Genomic DNA, 21,648 nt, shown 5'->3' on the forward strand with positions numbered 1-21,648 from the left:
GTGGTGCATGCCTGTAATCCCAGCTACTCAGGAGGCTGAGGGAGGAAAATCGCTTGAACCCAGGAGGCGGAGGTTTGGTGAGCCAAGATGGCGCCACTGCACTCCAGCCTGTGCAACAACAGCAAGACTCCATCTCAAAAAAAAAAGAACGTGGCACTATCACATTATTTACAGAGATTTGAAATTACCGAACATTTCTTTAAACATTTATTATTTATACCCCATACCTATTTTTTTACACAGTGATATTTCATGATTTGATTATTCTGTGCATTTTTTTCTGTTTCAAGATGACTCAAGGAGAACTACATCTAGTGCTGTAACGGAAACTGGCCCTCCTGCAATGCCAAGGTTACCTTCCTGCTGTCCCCAGCACTCACCATGTGGAGGGTCGTCACAGAACCACCATGCATTAGGACATCCTCATACAAGTTGCTTTCAGCAGCATGGTCACCATTTTCAACATCATCACCACCACCACCATACTCCCCACCCAGCTGTCCCAGTTTCTCCTTCCTTTAGTGATCCTGCTTGCCCTGTGGAAAGACCTCCACAAGTACAAGCACCTTGTGGAGCAAATAGTAGTTCTGGTACCAGCTATCATGAACAGGTATGTGGAATTTGAGTCAGTCTTTCTTTCCTGCCCCTCTTGTCTCTCTCTCTCTCTCCTTCTCCCTTTTCTCTCTCTTCCTCTTCCTTCATTCCTGTCTCTCTCCCTCCCTCCATTTCTCTCCCTGCTTTCTTCCCTCCCTGCCTCCCTCCGTTTCCTTTTTTTTTTTTTAACTCCCTCCCATTCTTCCTTCCTTTCCTCTCTTCCCCTCCTTCCTTCCCTCTCTTCCCTTTCCTCTTCCCCTTCATTCCTTCCCTCTCCTTTCTCCTTTCCCTTCCCCTTCCCCTTCTTCCTGTTTTAGATGGCTGGAAAACCCAGCATGAGGGAGTAACTACTTGCGTTAAAACCAACCCACCTTTCTTTTTTAATTGTGGTGGCTTTGGGAAGAGGAAAAAACCCCTAGGGATAGATTTTATACACTAAATTAATCACATTCTTACACTCGAAAATGGCCTAATTTAGTGGTCTGTAGTTTCTTTTTAATTAAGTCTCTGGGATTTTTAGATGGACTAAATTATTACAACTAATTGAATGGACCAGGGATGTGGGTAATCAAAACTGATACTTAATCTAAAAATCACTTTTTAAAAAGGCTTTTGATGTTTTTAGTTAAATACAGTTGGATCTGATTTTTGGGATCTTACTTTAAACAAATTGTTGAAACTCTAGTGTCCAGCTAATTCATGAAAAATTGGAAAATTCTCCCAGTTTTCCCCTTTTACCTCCTACTGTAGAGTTCACTATAACCTTCACTCATCTAAAAATAAACAGCCTTCTCATTTGCAGACCTGTAGCATGTTTTCTCAGGGGCAGATGAGGTTTTCAGTTTATGGAGAATCAAAATGTCAGCAAAAAATTATAATTAAGTAAATTAGTTGGTATTATTATTGAGTTCGCAAAATGTCAACTAGTATTAAATTAGTATTGGCAATCACGTGGAGTAAAAGAAGTCAAGCGTTCCATGCTACTTTAACTTTTGTTATGTCACTTCCATGTACGATTATGATATAAGTCTGCGTGTTGCAACTCAGGAGGCTGAGGCAGGAGAATTGCTTGAACCCGGGAGGCTTAGGTTGCAGTGAGCTGAGATCACGCCATTGCACTCCAGCCTGGGCGACAGAGTGAGATGCTGTCTCAAAAAACAACAACAACAACAAAAAACAAAAGATGTAATTTCAGAGAAAAATTGTAATTTTGACATATACTATTCCAGAAAAAAAGTGCTGCAAAAAAAGTCAAAGAGGCTGGCATGGTGGCTCACGCCTGTAATTCCAGCACTTTGGGAGGCCAAGGCAAGTGGATCACCTGAGGTCAGAAGTTCAAGACCAGCCTGGCCAACATGGTGAAATCCCATTTCTACTAAAATACAAAAATTAGCTGGGTGTGATGGTGTGTGCCTGTAGTCCCAGCTACTCGGGAGGCTGAGGCAGGATAATCACTTTAACTTTAGAGGTGGAGGTTGTAGTGAGCCAAGATCGTGCCACTGCACTCCAGCCTGGGCAACAGAGCAAGACTCCGAAGTTCGTTTTTTTTTCTTTTTTTTGAGATGGAGTGTCACTCTTGTTGCCTAGGATTACAGGCATTAAGCCACCGTGCCCGGCCAAGCTACCACTTTTCTATGTCACCCGACCTTTCCTAAAGTACTTGCCTCATCTTTTAAAATTTTGATGGTATGTCTTCTGGGTCTGACAGATTAAAAATAATTAACAAGGGCTGGGCGCGGTGGCTCATGCCTGTATTCCTAGCACTCTGGGAGGCCAAAGTGGGTGGATCACGAGATCAGGAGTTCGAGACCAGCCTGACCAACATGGTGAAACCCCATCTCTACTAAAAATACAAAAATTAGTTGGGTCTGTGGCGCGTGCCTGTAATCCCAGCTGCTCAGGAGACTGAGGCAGGAGAATCGATTGAACGTGGGAGGCGGAGATTGCAGTGAGCTGAGATCATGCCACCACACTCCAGCCTTGGCGACAGAACAAGACTCCGTCTCAAAAAAAAAAAAAAAAAAAAGGAGTTGTATTCTCTTTGAAAATACAGCTGGTCCTATCAAGAGGAAGTTTGAATTGAGTAGAAAATATAATTAAAGAGATTTTAGATGTCATTTCGGTTTTGGTAACATTTCTTGGTATTAATGGATTGTCCAGACCTGTCCTATCTCTTGGGAACGAGGGAGCATCAAGAAGAATTTTCCAGTGGATTGAATGAAAGGATCTGCTTGGAAGTATAACTTTGTTTTGCTGTAAATTTGGTTACATGATGCTTCATAAATATTGTAGGAAAATGGTGAAGAGGTGGGTCTACCAGCTTTTCCTACATTCATTAAAGAGCTGCCAAAAGTCTCATTTACAGAATATTTTGTTATTAATAAAATAATACAGCTAGTTTGAGACATCAATTATGTATACAACTTTTTATTTCAGCTTGAGTCAGTTGTAGGTAGGATCTCTTTTACAGGTCTGTTCAGTGTAAAATAAATATAACTCGTTTACCCACCTGTAAGTATTAGTAGAAGTATTTGGACTGCAAACAAAACTTGAGAAGAATCAGCAGGATCACAGGCATTCAGTGGTGATAATGGATTTGAAGGTAAAGAGAGTGAGATTTTTGAAGACAACAGTTTGAGACTCATGTTGATGTTTGTAGGACTCTAAAATTAACCAAATGCTCATAAAATAGCTTCATATAGTCTTCACTTTAGACCTATTTGGGTACAGCAGAAAGTAGAGGAGCAGAAGAAGCAAACAAAACCTGAGATTTGTGATTTTGTAGATATCTTATGTTTGAGTGCCAGATTGTGCGTAGTCAAATAAAAATTAGACTGGCATACCGAGAAGATGCAGTAGTCATGTAGATAGCCCTCACTGCTTGCTTTGATATGATATGGCTTTCATCCCTACCCACCCCTGCCACACCATCCCCACCCCCCAACCCCACCCCACCTCCTGCTTTTTTTTTTTTTTTTTTTTTTTTTTTTTTAGAGAGGATCTTGCCTTGTTTCTCAGGCTGGCCTTAAACTCCTGGGCTTAAGTAATCCTCCTGCCCCAGACTTCTAATTGGCTGGGACTACAGGCATGTACCACTGTGCCTAGTAGTTTAATTAGTGTGATGCATCATTTATAATCTGTGTAAGCCAATTATTATGTCCCATCACTATACTCATCTTGCTTACCCTTGATTGTCCTTCGGGAATAAGAATTGAATGAACTGGAATTGTGAAGAAGAGGGTTCTCATTACTGTTTTTATTTTCCCTTTATTCTTTAATTTTACCCTCAGTTTCTTCTAGGAATTACTTTACTCTGGGAATGTTCTTAATCACTGACTAGAGATGAAGATAAAATGAAATTTGGTCACCTTCATAAGATGTTGATATTCTAGTCCATTTGCTAATTTTAGTCTAAATAGTAGGGAAAGGATTTGAACCATAAACATAAATTCAGTCTTAAAACATTATTCTTAAACCGTATTTACCTGCATTGAAGACATACATTGTATTTGCCAACTCAATAGAAGAACAGACATATACTTGATTGTACAGCTCAACAGAAGGAGAACAGACATATACTTGATTGTAGATAAATAATACAAAAGAAAGGAGCTCCTCCTTTTCTCTTTCCCAACTTGAGTATCATCACACCCCTTTCCTTTCAGCACCCAGAGTTCCTTTTGTTTCTATTATTCCCCCTAAACCTAGAGCTCACTGAAATTAAAAAGAATGCTGTGGTTCCTCTCGGGACTGTTGGGTGACTTGAGCCTTTGACAAATGCATTACCCTAGGTTTTTTCATCTCCAGCCCCTCAGCTTCCAGTATTGCACAGTTGCTGTATATAATTCCATATATAACATCAGATCTTTATGATCTTTCATCACATTTTGAAAAGTATGGTTCCACTGAACCTAAGCAGTAGGTTTGTATTCAAGAATACGAAGAAGTGGCCGGGCGCGGTGGCTCACGCCTGTCATCCCAGCACTTTGGGAGGCTGAGGCAGGCGGATCATGAAGTCAGGAGATTGAGACCATCCTGGCTAACATGGTGAAACCCTGTCTCTACTAAGTATACAAAAAAAGTAGCCGGGCGTGGTGGTGGGTGCCTGTAGTCCCAGCTACTCGGGAGGCTGAGGCAGGAGAATGGGCCTGAACCCGGGAGGCGGAGCTTGCAGTGAGCCGAGATTGCACCACTGCACTCCAGCCTGGGCAACAGAGCGAGACTCCATCTCAAAAAAAAAAAAAAAAAAAGAATACGAAGAAGTGATTCTTGCCTTTGCTATAGAGTAGAGGTGAAAGTGTTTTGCTTAGGATTTTTCCAGATGCTTTTGGAAGGCAGTGCATAGTGGCTTACGCCTGAAATCCTAGCACCTTGGGAGGCTGAGACGGGTGGATCGCTTGACCGCAAGAGTTCGAGACCACCCTGTGCAACATGGTGAAACCCCGTTTCTAACAAAACGAAACAAAAAAACAAAAATTAGCTGGGCGTGGGGTCTCGTGCCTTTAGTTCTAGCTTCTTGTGGGTGGCTGAGGCAGGAGAATCGCTTGAGCCTAGGAGGTGGAGCTTGCAGTGAGCCAAGATTGTGCCACTGCACTCCAGCCTGGGTAACAGAGATCCTGTCGCAAAAAAAAAAAAAAATAAAGTTTTTGGAGGAAAATATTACTGATGAGTGGAAGTGGAATCTACCCTCTGGTTTATTTCCCAACTTAGTTGATGGGCTTTCCCTAAAATCGTATTCCTAATACAAGCATACCTTGGAGATACTGCAGGTTTGGTTCCAGACAACCACAATAAATACAATAAAGTGAATATTGCAATAAAGCAAGTCACATGAATTTTTTTGTTTCCCAGTACATATAAAATTTAATATTTACACTGTACTAAGTCCACTGCACAGTGACATTATGTTTGAAAAAATGTACATGCTTCAATTTAAAAATACTTCAGTTTAAAAATACCTTATTGTACATGTTTCAGTTTAAAAATAATTCAATTTAAAAATACTTTATTGCTAATACATTTTTTAAAAATGCCAGCAATCCTCTGAGACTTCAGCAAATTGTAAACTTTTTGCTGATGGAGGGTCTTGCCTTAATGTTGGTGGCTATGACTGATGAAAGTGGTGGTACCTAAAGATTGGGGTGGCTGTGGCAATTTCTTGAAGTAAGATAACAATGAAGTTTGCTGCATTGATTGACTGTTACTTTCATGAAAGATTTCTCTGTAGCACATGATGCTGTTTAATGGTGTTTTACCCATAGAACTTCTTTCAGAATTGGAATCAATCCTTTCAAACTTTGCAGCTGCTTTAAGTTTATGTGATGTACTAATGTAATATATTAAGTTGATGTGATATTCTAAATCTTTCGCTGTCATTTCCATCTTTTTTTTTTTTTTTTTTTTTTTGAGACAGCCTCGCTCTGTTGCCCAGGCTGGAGTGCAGTGGCGTGATCTCGGCTCACTGAAAGCTCCACCTCCCAGGTTCATGCCATTCTGCCTCAGCCTCCCAAGTAGCTGGGACTACAGGTGCCCGCCACCACGCCTGGCTAATTTTTTTGTATTTTTTAGTAGAGACGGGGTTTCACCGTGATAGCCACGTTGGTCTCAATCTCCTGACCTCGTGATCTGCCTGCCTCAGCCTCCCAAAGTGCTGGGATTACAGGCGTGAGCCACCACACCCGGCCTGTCATTTCCATCTTTTTCCTAGTATCTTTACCTGGAGAAGATTCTATCTCAAGAAACCACTTTTGCTGCAGTTTTTTGTTTGTTTGTTTGTTTAAATGATGTGTCTGGGGCCCTGCAATTTTTTTATTAAAAAAAAAAAAACAAAACACTTCCAGCTGGGCATGCTGGCTCATGCATTTGCTCCCAACACTTTGTGGGGCTGAGGTGGGAGGAGTTAAAGACCAGTCTGGGCAACATGGCAAGACTCTGTCTCTACAAAAAATCTAAAAATTAGCTGGGTGCAGTGGCACGCGCCTGTGGTCCTAGCTACTTGGGAGGCTGAAGTTGGGAGGATTGCTTGAGCTGGGTAGGTGGAGGCTGCAGTGAGCCACGTTTGTATTACTGCACTCCACTGTAGGCAACACAGTGAGACCTTGTCTCAAAAGTAAATAAAAGAGCCTGGGTGCAGTGGCTGACTTCTGTAATCCCAGCACTTTGTTTGAGAGGCTGAGGCAGGCAGATCACTTGCGGTCAGCAGTTCAAGACCAGCGTGGGCAACATGGTGAAACCTTGTGTCTACTAAAAATACAAAAATACAAAAATTAGGTGCGTGGTGGCATGCACCTGTAATCCCAGCTGCTCGCGAGGCTGAGGTAAGATAATTGCCTGAACCTGGGAGGTGGAAGTTGCAGTGAGCCAAGATTGCACTACTGCACACCAACCTGGGCAATAGAGTGAGACACCATCTCCAAAAAAAAAAAAAATAAATAAACTACTTTCTTTGCTCCTCCGTCAGAAGCAACTCATTCAGCTTTTATCAGGATTTACGGCAATTCAATCACATCTTCAGGTTCCAACTTCTTATTCTAGTTCTCTTGCTGTCTTCACGACATCTGTAGTTACTTCATCCACTGAAGTCTTGAACCCCTCAAAGTGTGCATGAGGCTTGGAATCCACTTCTTCCAAATTATTAATGTTAATATTTTGACTGCCTTCCATGAACCACAAATGTTCTTAATGACATCTAGAATGGTGACTCCTTTCTGGAAGGTTTTCAATTTACTTTTGCCCAGATTGATCAGAGGAATTATTATGGCAGCTATAGCCTTATGAAATGTATTTCTTTAATAGTAAGACTTGAAAGTTGAAATTACTCCTTGATTCATAGTCTGCAGACTGGATGTTGTGTTAGGTATGAAAACATTAATCTACTTATACATCATCAGAGCTCTTTGGTGACTATGTGCATTGTCAAGAAACAGCAATTTTCTTTTTTCTTTTTTGAGAAAAGGTCTCACTTTTGCCAAGCAGTAACATTTTGAAAGGAATATTTTTTTCTTAGTAGTGGGTCTCAACAGTATTCTTAAAATATTCAGTAAACCACGTAAATAGCTGTACTGTCATCTAGGCTTTGTTGTTTGTTAATAGAGCACAGGCAGAATAGATTTAGCATAAATCTTAAGGGCCCTGGGAATTCTGGAATTGCAAATGAGCATTGGATTTTAAGTCACTAGCTACATTAGACCCTAACAAGAATCATCCAGTCCTTGGAAACTTTGAAGCCAGCCATTGACTTCTCTTTGCTATGAAAGTCCTGGATGACATCTTCCAATATTAGGCTGTTTTGTCGACATGGAAAATCTGTTATTCACTGTAGCACTTTCCATAAATGATCTTAGCTGGATTTTCTAGATAACTTACTGTAGCTTCTACATCAGCACTTGCTGCTTCTCCTTGCACTTTTATCTTATAGAGATAGCTTCTTTCCTTCAGTTTCATGAACTAACCTCTGCTATCTTCAGACTTTTCTTCTGCAGCCTCCTTGCCTCCCTCAGCCTTCATAGAATTGAAGAGTTAGGGCCTTGCTCTGGCTTAGGCTTTGGCTTAAGAGAATATTGTAGCTGGTTTGATCTTCCATCTAGATCACTAAAACTTTCTTTAGATCAGCAATAAGGGTGTTTCAGTTTCTTATCATTTGTGTGTTCACTGGAGTGCTTTCAGTTTCTTTCAAGGATTTTTCCTTTGCATTCATGACTTGGCTAACTGGTGCAAGAGGCCTAGCTTTTGGCCTCTCTGGGCTTTTGACATGCCTTCCTCACTAAGCTTAATCATTTCTCGGTTTTGGTTTAAAATGAGAGATGTGCAAATCTTCCTTTCACTTCAATACCAGAGGCCATTAATTGGCCTAATTTCAATGTTGTTGTGTCTCAGGGAATAGGGAGGCCCAAAGAGAGGAGAGCAGGGTAATGGGGAAACATCTGGTCAGGACACACATGTTTATCTGTTAAATTTGTTGTCTTATATGGGCACAGTTCTTGGTGCCTAAAGCAATTATAATAGTAACATCAATGACTACTCATCAAATATCACCATAACAGATAAAATAATAATGAGAAAAATGTAAATATTAAGAGAATTACCAAAATGTGACACAGACACAGAGTTTCCACATGCTGTTGGAAAAATAACTCTGATAGACTTGCTTGACACAGTGTCGCCACAAACCTTCAATTTATTAAAAATAAAACAAAAAACCCCGAACATCTGCAAAGCACTAAATGTGCCTATAAAATGCAATAAATATGCCTATAAAAGGAAGCAGTGCTTTAACTTTTTTTATTCTTATGTTTTTGAACAAGTGAAAGCTTTGAGTGGCAAAGGTAATTCATGATTTAGTCTGAAAAATCTTATGTCCATTGTTATTTTGAATAATGTAGATTTGTTTATTAGCACTTTAATTGAATTCTTGCTTTATACAGTTTGGAACTTGGGGCAGACAAGATTTTTCCTAGAACCTTAATATTTTCAGTAGTGTGATAGTATGTTTTCTCAAGGAGTCCTAAAGTACTAGTCACAATGTTGGGATAAAGGAGAATATAGAAGTATGATTTTTAAAGTTTCTAAGATGTATTTGTTATAAGACAAAAAGATTTTAATATATTAAACTTTTGTTCATCTTGTGATAAAATCTTATGCTTGATTTTTAAAAATTGGTTTAACTGTAAAACCACTACAGTTTTCACAATCCAGGATACACTTGTTATATTCAAGATAACCAAGTATTTTGTTGGTGCTCACTGGTTCTTCATACTAAGAATCTTCCTGGTTTCAAACTAATTTAAAGATTATGTTTTTTTGGTTATATTAGGAATACTTTTATAATATAACATGAAATATTTGACCAAACTTTAGAAAGATAAAATATACTTCCTTTTTATCTAGCAGGCATTGCCAGTGGACCTGAGCAACAGTGGTATCAGAAGTCATGGAAGTGGCAGTTTTCATGGAGCATCTGCATTTGACCCCTGCTGCCCTGTTTCTTCCTCCCGAGCTGCAATCTTTGGCCATCAGGCCGCTGCTGCTGCCCCAAGTCAACCTTTATCATCAATAGATGGCTATGGATCAAGCATGGTTGCGCAGCCCCAGCCCCAGCCCCCTCCACAGCCCTCTCTCTCATCATGTCGACATTACATGCCACCCCCTTGTAAGTATATACTTAGTGGACACAAAATCTAGAGTCATGTCAATGAAGCATTTTGTACTTCCTTATGAAATAACCTTTAATCCCAGTTCTTAAATTTTTAGTATTTACTTGGCTTAAGAGTAGGGTATATTTTTTCCCATGTTAGTATTATGTAATTGAGGTGGATTGAATGGAAGTTTTAAGGAATTTAGATTTGTTCTTTAGTATAGCTGAAGAAATGTGAAAGTTGAGTAGTATTTCTAGGCACAGTAAAGTAAATTTTTAAGAATTCTCAAGCAGTTAGCTGAGACATAACAGCAAGCTTTGGGAGTTGTAAAAGGATTTTTATATTCATTTGATGCAGGCAATTAAAATATAACCATGGTTGGGCATGATGGCTCACTCCTGTAATCCCAGCACTTTGGGAGGCCAAGGCAGGAGGATGGCTTGAGGCCAGGAGTTTGAGACCAGCCTAGGCAACATAGTGAGACCCCGTTTCTATAAAAATAAAATAGAACCAGCCATGCCTTTTCTAAAGAAATTGAAATTCGTTAGATATCACAAGAAATGATAAATACTCTAAGGCTATGTAACATATTTACTATTTTGTTAGATCATAAGCTAATAATGAAATGAAAGCTTAATAAACACTTGGCTGATAAACACCAAAAATTCATGCTGGAAATGAACCAGGAAGTCAGCAAGGAAATTTGTGTTTTGTTTTGATTACATGGCAAGTGGTAATTTTCACTTACATATCTTCTTGGATTTTTTCTTCTACTCCAGTCATTTAAAAAAATCTGCATCGTGCAGACGCAGCTGGAATCAACCCAGAATCTGTACAGTGAAACTGGTGATATATTATTTACCTTCTCAGTAATGCAACTTAAAATTTAAAGTATAAATTGGAAAACATTTAGCAAGTTTTTACAAAGCATTGACCAATGGGCCAATTCTTTGTATGAGCACCAGTGTGATGCATGGCCTATTTTGTAATACTTGATGGTATTCATTTTTGATTGATCATCTTTTATTTGAAATTCAATATGCTTAATTTTCTGCCCCTCCCCTTTAAAAATAATATACTGAAGCAGTTTATGAGTAAGTTCATTCCTTTCAAAATGTCCTAATAAATACATGTTTTAGATTCATTTGTTATATTCTAAAACATTCAGACTGTGCAGTCATATAAAATGAGAATTTAAAAGCTTCCTCGCACAGCTTACTAATCTTAATATATCAGAGGTAGTAACTGTTCTATAAAAACTTTTAGAAATTTTCTTTGTACACATAGATAGGTATATGTCTTACCTTTTAAAAATGGGAAATCAAACATATTCTACTTCTTGTTTTTTGTTTTTAAATTTAACAGTATATTTTGATTTTTGCATATTAGCACATAAAAATCTAGCTCATTGGTTTTTAATACCCCCATAATATCCATTGTATATTAAATCAGTCTTCTGTTGATGGACATTAAAGTTGTTTATGGTTGAGTTTATGTATAGTTTAACTTCCTAGAAATGTGATTGCTATGTCAGAGGGCTAAACTTTCAGATAAATACTGTTAAGTTTTCTCTCCAAGGGGCTGCATCAATTTACACACCTCATTAGGAGTGTGTTAATGAGAATGAAGGTAGGAAATTTAAATTGTATTATTTTCTGTTAGAGACATTTTGATAACTCTGTTTTGGGCTTCTTTTCCTGAAGGAGTGTGTGTATTCTCTCCCCAACTTGCCCGTGCTTTTAAAAAACATTTCCCGTATGCTTTAGTTCACGTGTGAAACATGTGGTTCTTAAACCTTTTTTCATCCAGAATGAACTGGGGAAGACAATATGGCATAGTAGAGCACTAGCTTTAGAATTGGATAGATTCGAGTTGACCTCCCAGCTCTGACTAATTAGCTTGGTGACTTTGGATAAGTTATTTAATCTCTCTGTCCTTACATTCTTTGCACTTGTAAAATGGGAATAATTCCTATTGGCTATAAATTGTGATACTTGGATCCAGATGAATAGTTTGCTGTTTCATAAGTACATTTATATGTATAACAACAATACTTGTGGAGTAAGAATATGTCTCTCTCTGCTTTTGAAAGGTTTGTGGTCTTGATGAAGTGATAAAACAACTGTACTTGAAATGCTATTATTTAAAAGTTTTACTATCTTATTAATAAGATGTATTGAGAAGATATGTAAGGCCTGGCTTGGTAGTATGAGCATGTAGTTCCTGCTCTTCAGGAGGCTGAGGCATGGGGATTGCTTGAGCTCAGGAGTTCAAGGTTGTAGTGTGCTGTTATCACACCTGTGAACAATCCTTGTACTCCTGCCTGGACAACATAGTGAGAACCTGTCTCTAAAAAAAAAAAAAAAAAAAAAAAGACCAGGCACAGTGGCTCACGCCTGTAATCCCAGCACTTTCGGGAGGCCGAGGCGGGTGGATCACCTGAGGTCAGGAGTTCAAGACCAGCCTGGCCAACATGGCGAAACCCTGTCTCTACTAAAAATTCAAAAACTAGCCGGGTGTGGTGGCAGGTGCCTGTAATCGCAGCTACTCGGGAGGCTGAGGCAGGAGAATTGCTTGAACCTGGGAGATGGAGATTGCAGTGAGCTGAGATCACACCACTGCACTCCAGCCTGGGCGATAGAGCGAGTCTCCCTCTCAAAAGAAGAAAAAAAAAAAAAAAAGAGAGGTATAGGTAAGGCTACTTACGATTAATCATAAAGCAAATGGTCTACACTGTAAAGCTATGGGAATGCAGTGAGTAAATGTTGGAATAAAGCATAGTATTACATCTGCAAGTGATATGTTGAACGTCTAGGAAACAATATCAAGAACTTTTTTTAACTGTTGGGAACACAAATAGAGGAAGGGAAAGGGTTTTTGGGAATGTGGAATATGTCACTCTTAAAATGGTCAGCAACCTGTTTTGTTTAAACAGTGAATTAAAGTGATGTCTAAAGAGTAGTTAAATAAATGGACTCATTCTGAAACAAAACTTCTTGCTTTGTAATATTTGTGAATGTTGTATAATGATTACACAAATATAAAACTTTGCAACTAGAAAAAATGCTGTGAATTTGAGAAAGGATAGTTAACAATCATAAAACATAGTGGATTCATTTTTTATGATTAAGAGCTAGCTACTGAGCTTTGTGCCTTCTTGAAGAGTAAAGCATTGATTTGAAAACAGAACTTTTAGAAAATTGGTTTAAAAATTTGTCTTGCAACTTTTAAAAATTAGATTTGTTGAAAGTTTCCTTTAAGTACATGCTAACAAGGCATACTTTGAAAATATAGTTGAGTTATTGTTACCTAACTTCTGCCCTTGCTGAATGAATCAAAAGCATTAAAAATTGAAAACTTCTGTAATGAAACTAGAGAATGGCTGTTGGTCTATATCAGACTTCCAAGAACATCTTCCAATAAAATGAAATTTGTATTGAAATCTAAGACAAACTTTTTTTTTTTTTTTACATGTCAAGTAGATGCACATCTCTAAGAGTAAGGAAGATGTGTATTCCTCAGAGAGATTTTTCAGCAGTCACTTTGAAACATAAAGATGTAGAATGAAGAAATGGTAGGAGCCATCTTATTAAGGACTTTACGTCCATATTTGATGGGAAACAAATAGGTCTCCTTCACCTTAATGTAGCACAGGAATAATGACATGGGGTAGGGAGAGAGAGAGACAGTTTGGAAAAATGTTTACACCCTATTATGACAGAGCTTCCATATATGCAAATAATACTTACAAGTCAATAAGAAAAAGGTGAGTAATACAATAGGCTAAGCATGTAAATAGATAATTCTGAGAACACATACAAGCGGTCAAGAAATAAAAGATTTTTCTCAGATTGGCATTTATTTTAAAAATTTAGTGGTAATGTGGGGGTAATCAGGCCTTCTTGTGTGCTCCTTTTTTTTTTTTTTTTTTTTTTTTGAGGTGGAGTCTCACTCTGTCGCCCAGGCTGGGGTGCAGTGGCATGATCTCAGCTCACTGCATCCTCCACCTCCCAGGTTCAAGCGATTCTCCTGCCTCAGCCTCCCTAGTAGCTGGGATTACAGGTGTGCATCACCATGCCTGGATAATTTTTGTATTTTTAGTGGAGACGGGGCTTCGCCATGTTGGCCAGGCTGGTCTCGAACTCCTGGCTTCAGGTGACTCTGCCCACCTTGGCCTCCTAAAGTGCTGGGATTACAGGTGTGAGCCACGGTGCCTGGCCCTTCCTGTGTACTCTTGATGGAAATATTAATTATGGCAACCTTTTGGAAAGGGTATTTTTATTAACTGGCATCTAAATTTATTTTTTTCTTTCTGTCCCACAACTACTTACAGGAATTTATGCTACAGAAATGATCTCTATATATGTGTGTATACATGTGTGTAAATGAAAGAGTGAGTGCAGGAGTGAGCATATACACAGATATTTATCATAGCATTTGGGTTTCTTTTTTATCAGTGGGGATTTTGTCAGTACATTTTGGTGTGTTCATATAATAGAATGTTGTGAAGCTGTGAGTGAAGTTAAACTATAATATATATATTGACATAAGATATCCAAGATTATTGTAAGAAGGGAGCAAGTTGCTTGAGCAGTTGCTTGAATACTTTACTTGATAAAGTATTCATAAAAATAAAATACTAATATGTTTAAAAGTACACTAGGAATGTATAATAGCAATATATGTTCAACTGCATGGTGCCTATGTAACATACTCAAAATATTTTTCTTGCAGATGCCTCTTTGACAAGGCCACTTCATCATCAAGCTTCTGCCTGCCCGCATTCTCATGGAAACCCCCCTCCTCAGACTCAGCCTCCGCCTCAAGTGGATTATGTTATTCCTCATCCTGTACATGCTTTCCATTCTCAAATATCTTCTCATGCAACATCTCATCCTGTGGCACCCCCACCACCAACTCACTTAGCCAGTACAGCTGCACCAATCCCTCAGCATCTTCCTCCTACACACCAGCCAATTTCGCACCATATTCCAGCCACAGCACCTCCAGCACAGAGACTGCATCCTCATGAAGTGATGCAGAGGATGGAAGTTCAAAGGAGGAGGATGATGCAGCATCCAACGTATGTTTTACGTTTTTAAAAAGAAAGTCAAGTTTGCTTTTTCTTCTACTTCCATTGGTCTTTACAACTCTGAAATCCAACTAGGCATGGTGGCATGCACTTGTAGTCACAGCTCCTTGGGAGGCTGAGACAGGAGGATTGCTTGAGCCCAGGAGTTTGAGTCCATCTGGGCAACACAGTGAAATACTGTTTTTTGTTGTTGTTGTTTTCTTTTTTTAAAAAAAGAACAAAGAACAGCAACAACAACAAAAAAAACCATGAAGTCTTTAGAAATAATGTAACTTGTAACTATAAGCTGGGTGAGGCTCATTCCCGTAATCCCCAGTTGCTCAGGAGGCTAAGGCAGGAGGATAATTTGAGCCCAGGAGTTCAAAGCTGAGCTATGACTGTGCCACTGCACTCTAGCTTAGGTGGTAGAGCAAGACCCTGTGTCCTTTAACAACAGTAGAAAACAAAAGATAGGTGGCTGCAGTGATTCACCCCTATAATTCCAACACTTTGGGAGGCTGAGGCGGGAGGATCGCTTGAGCCCAGGAGTTTGAGACCAGCTTGGGCAACATAAGGAGACCTCGTCTCCACCAAAAAAAGGAAGTAGCTGGGTGTAGTGGCATACTCCTGTGGTCCCAGCTACTGGGTAGGCTGAGATGAAAGGATCGTCTGAGCCCAGGGGGTCAAGGCTGGAGTGCAGTGGTGCAACCATAGTTCTTTTATCCTTGAACTCCTGTGCTTAAGTGATCCTCCCATGATCATGCCACTGCACTGCAGCCTGGGTGACACAGGGAGACCCTGTCTCTCCCCCTCTCCCCAAAAAAGTAACTATACTAAATCCTCATTTCACTAAGAAATTGATTCTTTGCTAACGAGAACCTTCCCCTGCCTTTCCCTAAATTGTATGTGTTGAAAAAACAAGTTTATACCAGGTTATTTAGTAAAATCTGACCAGTTTTACCATATGACCCAGGCTAATTTCTTTATGCAAACCAATTAAAAAAAAGTACCCAGACTGGTCTGATGTGAGCTAATCTTTTGTCTGTGTGTTTCTGCAATATCGTGTGGTAAAAATCAGTGTTAAAATTGATGATTCTGAGGAATAAGATCTAAAGATATCAAAGATTTGAATGTTACTAACGAGAGGGAAGGAAAGTATTAATAGAATTTTCAGTGAATGACAGTGAAAATATTGTACTTCAAGTTTATGAAAATCCTTTTTTTTCTTTTGATTATTCAGGATCTGATTTTCATATTCAGATCAGCAAACTATTGGTCTAATTCTGCCTACTGATTTTTGTAAACAAAATTTTATTGGAAAACAGCTGCAGTTTTTCAGTTACAAACAAACTGAAAAAGTGTCTGTTGTTTGTGGCTGTTTCCACATTACAAAGGCTAAGCTGAGTAGTTACAACAGAGAACATACGGCCTGTAGAGCTGAAAAAATTTCCCGTTTTACCCTTCACATAACCTGTTTGCCAAACTCTTGATCTAATTAATGATCCAGCTCTCTTGTGTAACTTTTTGTTTTACTTCTGTCATTTAAGATTGTATCCCAAATCTCTGGCTGTTGCTGCCATTCTAATATAGTAACCTTTTATATAGAAAATTGCCAGTTTAACAGTCTTATCTTCCAGTAACTGGCAAATTGTTGTTTAGAATAAACATGCAAAATCTGCAATTGTGTTAAAAACTAATATAAAATAATTAGACTATAAAAATGAATCTTAGCTGGGTATGGTGGCACACACCTTTAGTCCCAGCTACTCAGGTGGCTGAGGTGGGAGGATCACTTAAGCCCGGGAGTTCAGGGTTACACTGAGCTATGATTGTGCCACTGCACTTGATCCTGGAGCAAGATTCTGCCGCTTAAAAAAAAAAAGAAGCAAAAAATGAATCCCTGAAACTAAGTTGTTTTTAGTGTCTTCTGTTAACTGACTTTAGGAAGAGAAAATACAGTAAACTGGGATGCAAAATAAAGAGTATGAATGGAGGTTGGGCACATTGGCTCATGTCTGTAATCCCAGCACTTTGGGAGGCCAAGGTGGGCAGATCACAAGGTCAAGAGATTGAGACCATCCTGGCCAACATCCTGGCCCATCTCAAAATACAAAAATTAGCTGGGCGTGGTGGCATGCACCTGTAGTCCCAGCCACTTGAGAGGCTGAGGCAGGAGAATTGCTTGAATCTGGGAGGCAGAGGTTGCAGTGAGCCAAGATTGCCACTGTACTCCAGCCTGGTGACAGAGCTAGACTTCCTCTCCAAAAAAAAAAAAAAGTATGAATCAAGCTAAATACACGTTTCCTAGGTGTGTTAACTTGTATTACATGTGTTTTGAAAAAAAATGCACAGGGTTAACATTGTTTTCTCTTAAACTTTCATCCATTAAAATGGTTGAATGTCTTTACAGTATAAGAGTAAATGAAGCAAAATTAAGGTTTCAATGTGTCCTGCTTTAATGTTTATATACAATAATTTATTTGTGCCTGCAACATTTGCCTGGGGTATTTAATTTTTAAAAATTTTATTTTTATTTAATTCCTATTATTCTCCTATTTAAAATATCACTTGTAAAGAAGGTGTACAAGATAATGTTAAAATTACTTTTTCCTTGGGTGATATTTGAATTGGAAGCATTGGAATAAATGAGCAATTAGAATTTATGGAGAAGGTGATGGTTTCTTGATTTATTAACAAATAATTTTATATGTTTTTATAATTTATTATAAAATTTATTTTATGACTAATCTATAGATGTTTATAGTATTAATACTAGGGATTTTTTTCTACATTAAGAAAAGAAATAACCAATTATTCAATTATTTCCAGTGGTCTTTTTGTGTTCTGTGTTTCCAGGCGGGCACATGAACGCCCCCCACCCCATCCACATAGGATGCACCCAAACTATGGTCATGGGCATCATATTCATGTGCCTCAGACTATGTCCTCACATCCTCGACAGGCTCCAGAGAGGTCTGCCTGGTCAGTATCTTCTTTAATTTCAAAACAGTGCTTCACAGCTTGTGGTAAAACTATTGGAAGAGATGCCTTGTGATTGATTGCTTTGCAGAAGGATGATGTGGAGAAACCTAATCCCCAGTTTAACTGAGACACTGCCTCTGGGCAGATAGAGGTTTGGAGAGGAAAGAATAGGAGCTGGGGCAGGGAACCATATCAAGCAGGAGTAGTACTTTTTTTAGGTGTTATTTTATGTTTAATTGAAAAATAATAATTGTATATATTTGGAGGTACAGCATAGTATTTCAATACATACATACATTGTGAAATGATTAAATCAGGCTAATGGCACATTTATCACCTCCAATATTGATCATTTCTTTGTGGTGAGTATATTTAAAATCTTTTGTCGCAGTTTTGAAATAAACGGTACGTTATTCTTCACTGTAGTCACCATGCTGTGCAGTAGAATATCAGAACTTACTCCTCCCAGCTGAAGCTTTGTACCCATCGACCAGCATCTCCCCTTTCCTCATTCATGACCCCCCACCCTCTCCCCAGCCTCTGGTAAACAACATGCTACTCTCTCCTGTGAGTTTAGGTTTTTTAGAGTTCCCATGTAAGTAAGAGGCGTGGACCTTTTTTCCTGTTCTTCAGGGTTACTACCAAAGTTGACTCCCTCGACTGATCTTACTTTTCACATCTTCTTTATCTGACCCCCACCTTTGTACTCAGATTTGCTCCACCACCCTCACCTGCCATTGACAAGGGAAATTTAGCCTGCCTTCTCCTAGACTTGTGGTCTTTCCTAGATAGGTGGAAGCAGATTTTCATTAGATTAATTTTCTGAATCCATTGTGTGTGGGCATTCATTGAGATCTTGAACCACAATGACTTTTGAGGCAGAACATAAAATGAGAATAAGTAAATGAAGACTTAGCATATAACAGTTTTACCCCTTCTAAAATTTTGTTTGCCCTTCTTTTATAAGGTGTAGAAGAGTTTGCTATTCTAATCGTCCTTAATGTCAACAACCAAGAGATGATATCTAGCAAACAAAAACCCAGAGAGCATCTGTAACATTCAGATACACCAAAAAAGTAAATTCTATGTTGTATGCTCCTCAAGTAGAATCAGACTTTTATCTTGGAAGGGAACTTCGTAGCCATATATTTCCTTCCTTTGTAAGATGTGAAACCAAGTAGAAATGCTTTGCTCCTCATTGTCACAAAATTTAAGTTTTTAGAGCTTTCAGTTCTAAAATAAATTTGAAATTATTAGTTAAATATTTTGGGCTAAATTATCTTTCCTCAGCTTTGTAAGTTAAGAAACCTTAGATTACTTTTTTAAGTGTAAACATAACTCCCCATGTCTGTTGATAAAAAAGAGACCCTAAGGAGGATTAAACTGTTCTCATCCTTTCGTTAGGGAACTGGGAATTGAAGCTGGAGTGACTGCAGCTACTTATACACCTGGTGCATTGCATCCTCACTTGGCCCATTATCACGCACCTCCTCGACTTCATCACTTACAATTAGGAGCTCTTCCTTTAATGGTAAAATGGAAAATTTTCAAAATTTTGACATGTTCTAAAAGTTCCTTTTCTAAGTATTTTATTGGAAATACTTCACTATATTAATATAGATGTTTTAATAGAATTTGAGAGTAATCTTGTTAGCTAAAATTGTGCTATAAAAAGGTATTAGATGTATTAAAATCTGCACGTATAATTTGCATCATAACATGTACTCTTAATGTACGACATGACAAAAAAGTGTGGGGTTTTTTGTATACCAAGATACTCTTAATCCACTGTCAGGAGTATACTGTGCTTCAGTTATTTTGCCGTAAGTGGTAATAGATCCGTTCTGATGCAGTCATACTTGATTTTCTTTTTTCTTTTTTTTTCGACAGAGTCTCACTCTGTCACCCAGGCTGGAGTGCAGTAGTATGATCTCAGCTCACTGCAACCTCCACCTCCTGGGTTCAAGTGATTCTCCTGCCTCAGCCTCCCAAGTAGCTGGGATTACAGGCACGTGCCACCATGCCTGGCTAATTTTTGTATTTTTAATAGAGATGGGGTTTCACCATTTGGCCAGGCTGGTCTCAAACTCCTGGCCTCAAGTGATCTGCCCACCTTGGCCTCCCAAAGTGCTGGGATTACAGGCTTGAGCCAGGGCACCCAGCCTGATTTTCTAATCTGCAGAAAGATTATACTAATTCTCTACATCTGATTTAAGCAGGTTCAGATTTTGTAAAGTGCTAAAGGACAAGTTCAGCAAAACATACATTGCGTTTGCTGTTTGTATTACATACTTGTTATATAAATGGTACAGAAAAGGGAATAGTTTTGTGTTGTTGTGGGTAGAGGCACTGCAGGAAAGCTTTCAGAGAAGCTTTCTGGTACATGTGACTTCTAAGCAGACTGGATTATGGAATGGTGCTCTTGCAGAGGTTACAGCATGTAAAGATGTAGCAAATAGCACAAGCACTGGGAACTCCAAGTAAGCTGGTGTTTCTAATTTTAGGAGTGAGGGTCAGGCAGCAGTGAGAAATAAAACTGTTCTACCAAGAAACTGGAACTCAGGAACCATTGAAGGGGAAATGTCCTGATCAAATTTATGATTTTAGAGTTATTTAATCAGATTATAGTTAGATCACCTCCTCAGTTATGTGGAAAAATAGATGTAAATGTGGGAAACCAGTTAGGACATTATAGTAGAAGAGGTAAATATTGATGAATGCCTGAATGAAGGCAATTGTAGTTGGCATAAAAATGATGATACACATTTGAGAGATATTTAGGGTTTGGGTGAAGGGGTTAGGTGAGTTAGGTCTTGGATGTACTGAATCTCTATGAAAGTTGAATGTCCAATAGGAAGTTAAGCCTGTGGTCTGGATTTCCAAAGATATTTGGGTTAAAGATATGTTTTGATCTGTCAGTATATGGAGGTAATGAATCCATGGAAGAGGATTAGGTTTTCAGGAAAAATGTGCAGAGTGACAAGAGGGTGAAAAAACCTTAGAGAATGACAATACTGTATTTAAATGATAATACTATGCTTTGAACAAAGGATTCTGAGAACTGGCTTGAAAAGTTGAGAAACACAGTTAAAATAATATCAGAAAATACAGTTACCACTTGAACAATGCAGAGGTTAGGGGTGTTGACCCTCCTCACAGTCGAAAATCAGAGTATAACTTTTGAGTTCCTAAAATCTTAACTACTAATAGTCTATTGTTGATCGGAAGCCTTACTGCTAAAATAAACAGTTGATCAACACATATTCTGTATGTTATAAGTACGTGATAATGATAGTCTACAATAGATAATGATAGTTTACAATAAAGTAGAAAAAAATGTTAAGAAAATTATAAGGAAGGGAAAATACATTTACTATTCGTTAAGTGAAAGTGTATCATTATAAAGGTCTCTTTCCTTATTGTCTTCACATTGAGTAAGCTGAAGAGTAGGAAAAGGAGGGATTCATCTTGCTGTCTCTGGGGTGGCAGAGGTGGCAGAAAATCTACATGTAAGCAGACCCATGCAGTTCAAACCCATTTTATGTTGTTCAAGGGTGAACTGTAATATGGTCAGTATGGTGTCATCACAAAAAAATAAAGTTTGAAAAGTATTGAAAGCATTTGGCAGTAGAGTGGTTATTGGTCTTTTGTGTCAGAATGGTTCAGTAATGGTGAGTGATGTAGATGGGGCACCTCTTAGATTACGTACGGTAAGGAAGTGAAAACATGGAGACAGTGAATATAGCCTTCTTGCTTTATAAGCTTGGCTGTGAAGGGAAAGTGAAGGAAACCCCTATTTGGTTGGCAGTAATTCCAGGATTAGTAGAGAATTTAGGTTTGGAAAAACTTAAGGTATTTTCAGGTTTA

The 21,648-nt window shown here is 38.6% G+C and overlaps 1 protein-coding gene across 30 annotated transcripts in view; it reads left to right on the plus strand.

Moving 5' to 3' along the window:
• Nucleotides 1-21,648, plus strand: part of RNF111 (ring finger protein 111) — a 109,757-nt gene that overhangs the window by 78,811 nt on the left and 9,298 nt on the right. For 10 of the 30 annotated variants that reach the window (XM_047432702.1, XM_047432713.1, XM_047432701.1 and 7 more), the window contains 5 exons: nt 291-610; nt 9,481-9,742; nt 14,463-14,811; nt 17,629-17,781; nt 19,186-19,312. In XM_047432702.1, coding sequence (XP_047288658.1) covers nt 291-610; nt 9,481-9,742; nt 14,463-14,811; nt 17,629-17,781; nt 19,186-19,312 — 1,211 coding nt within the window. The remainder of the gene's footprint in view (nt 1-290; nt 611-9,480; nt 9,743-14,462; nt 14,812-17,628; nt 17,782-19,185; nt 19,313-21,648) is intronic. The other 20 variants (XM_047432708.1, XM_047432717.1, XM_047432721.1 and 17 more) reach the window with 3 other exon arrangements.

The sequence above is a fragment of the Homo sapiens genome, chromosome 15, assembly GCF_000001405.40.
Source record: "Homo sapiens chromosome 15, GRCh38.p14 Primary Assembly".
NCBI lineage: Eukaryota > Metazoa > Chordata > Mammalia > Primates > Hominidae > Homo > Homo sapiens.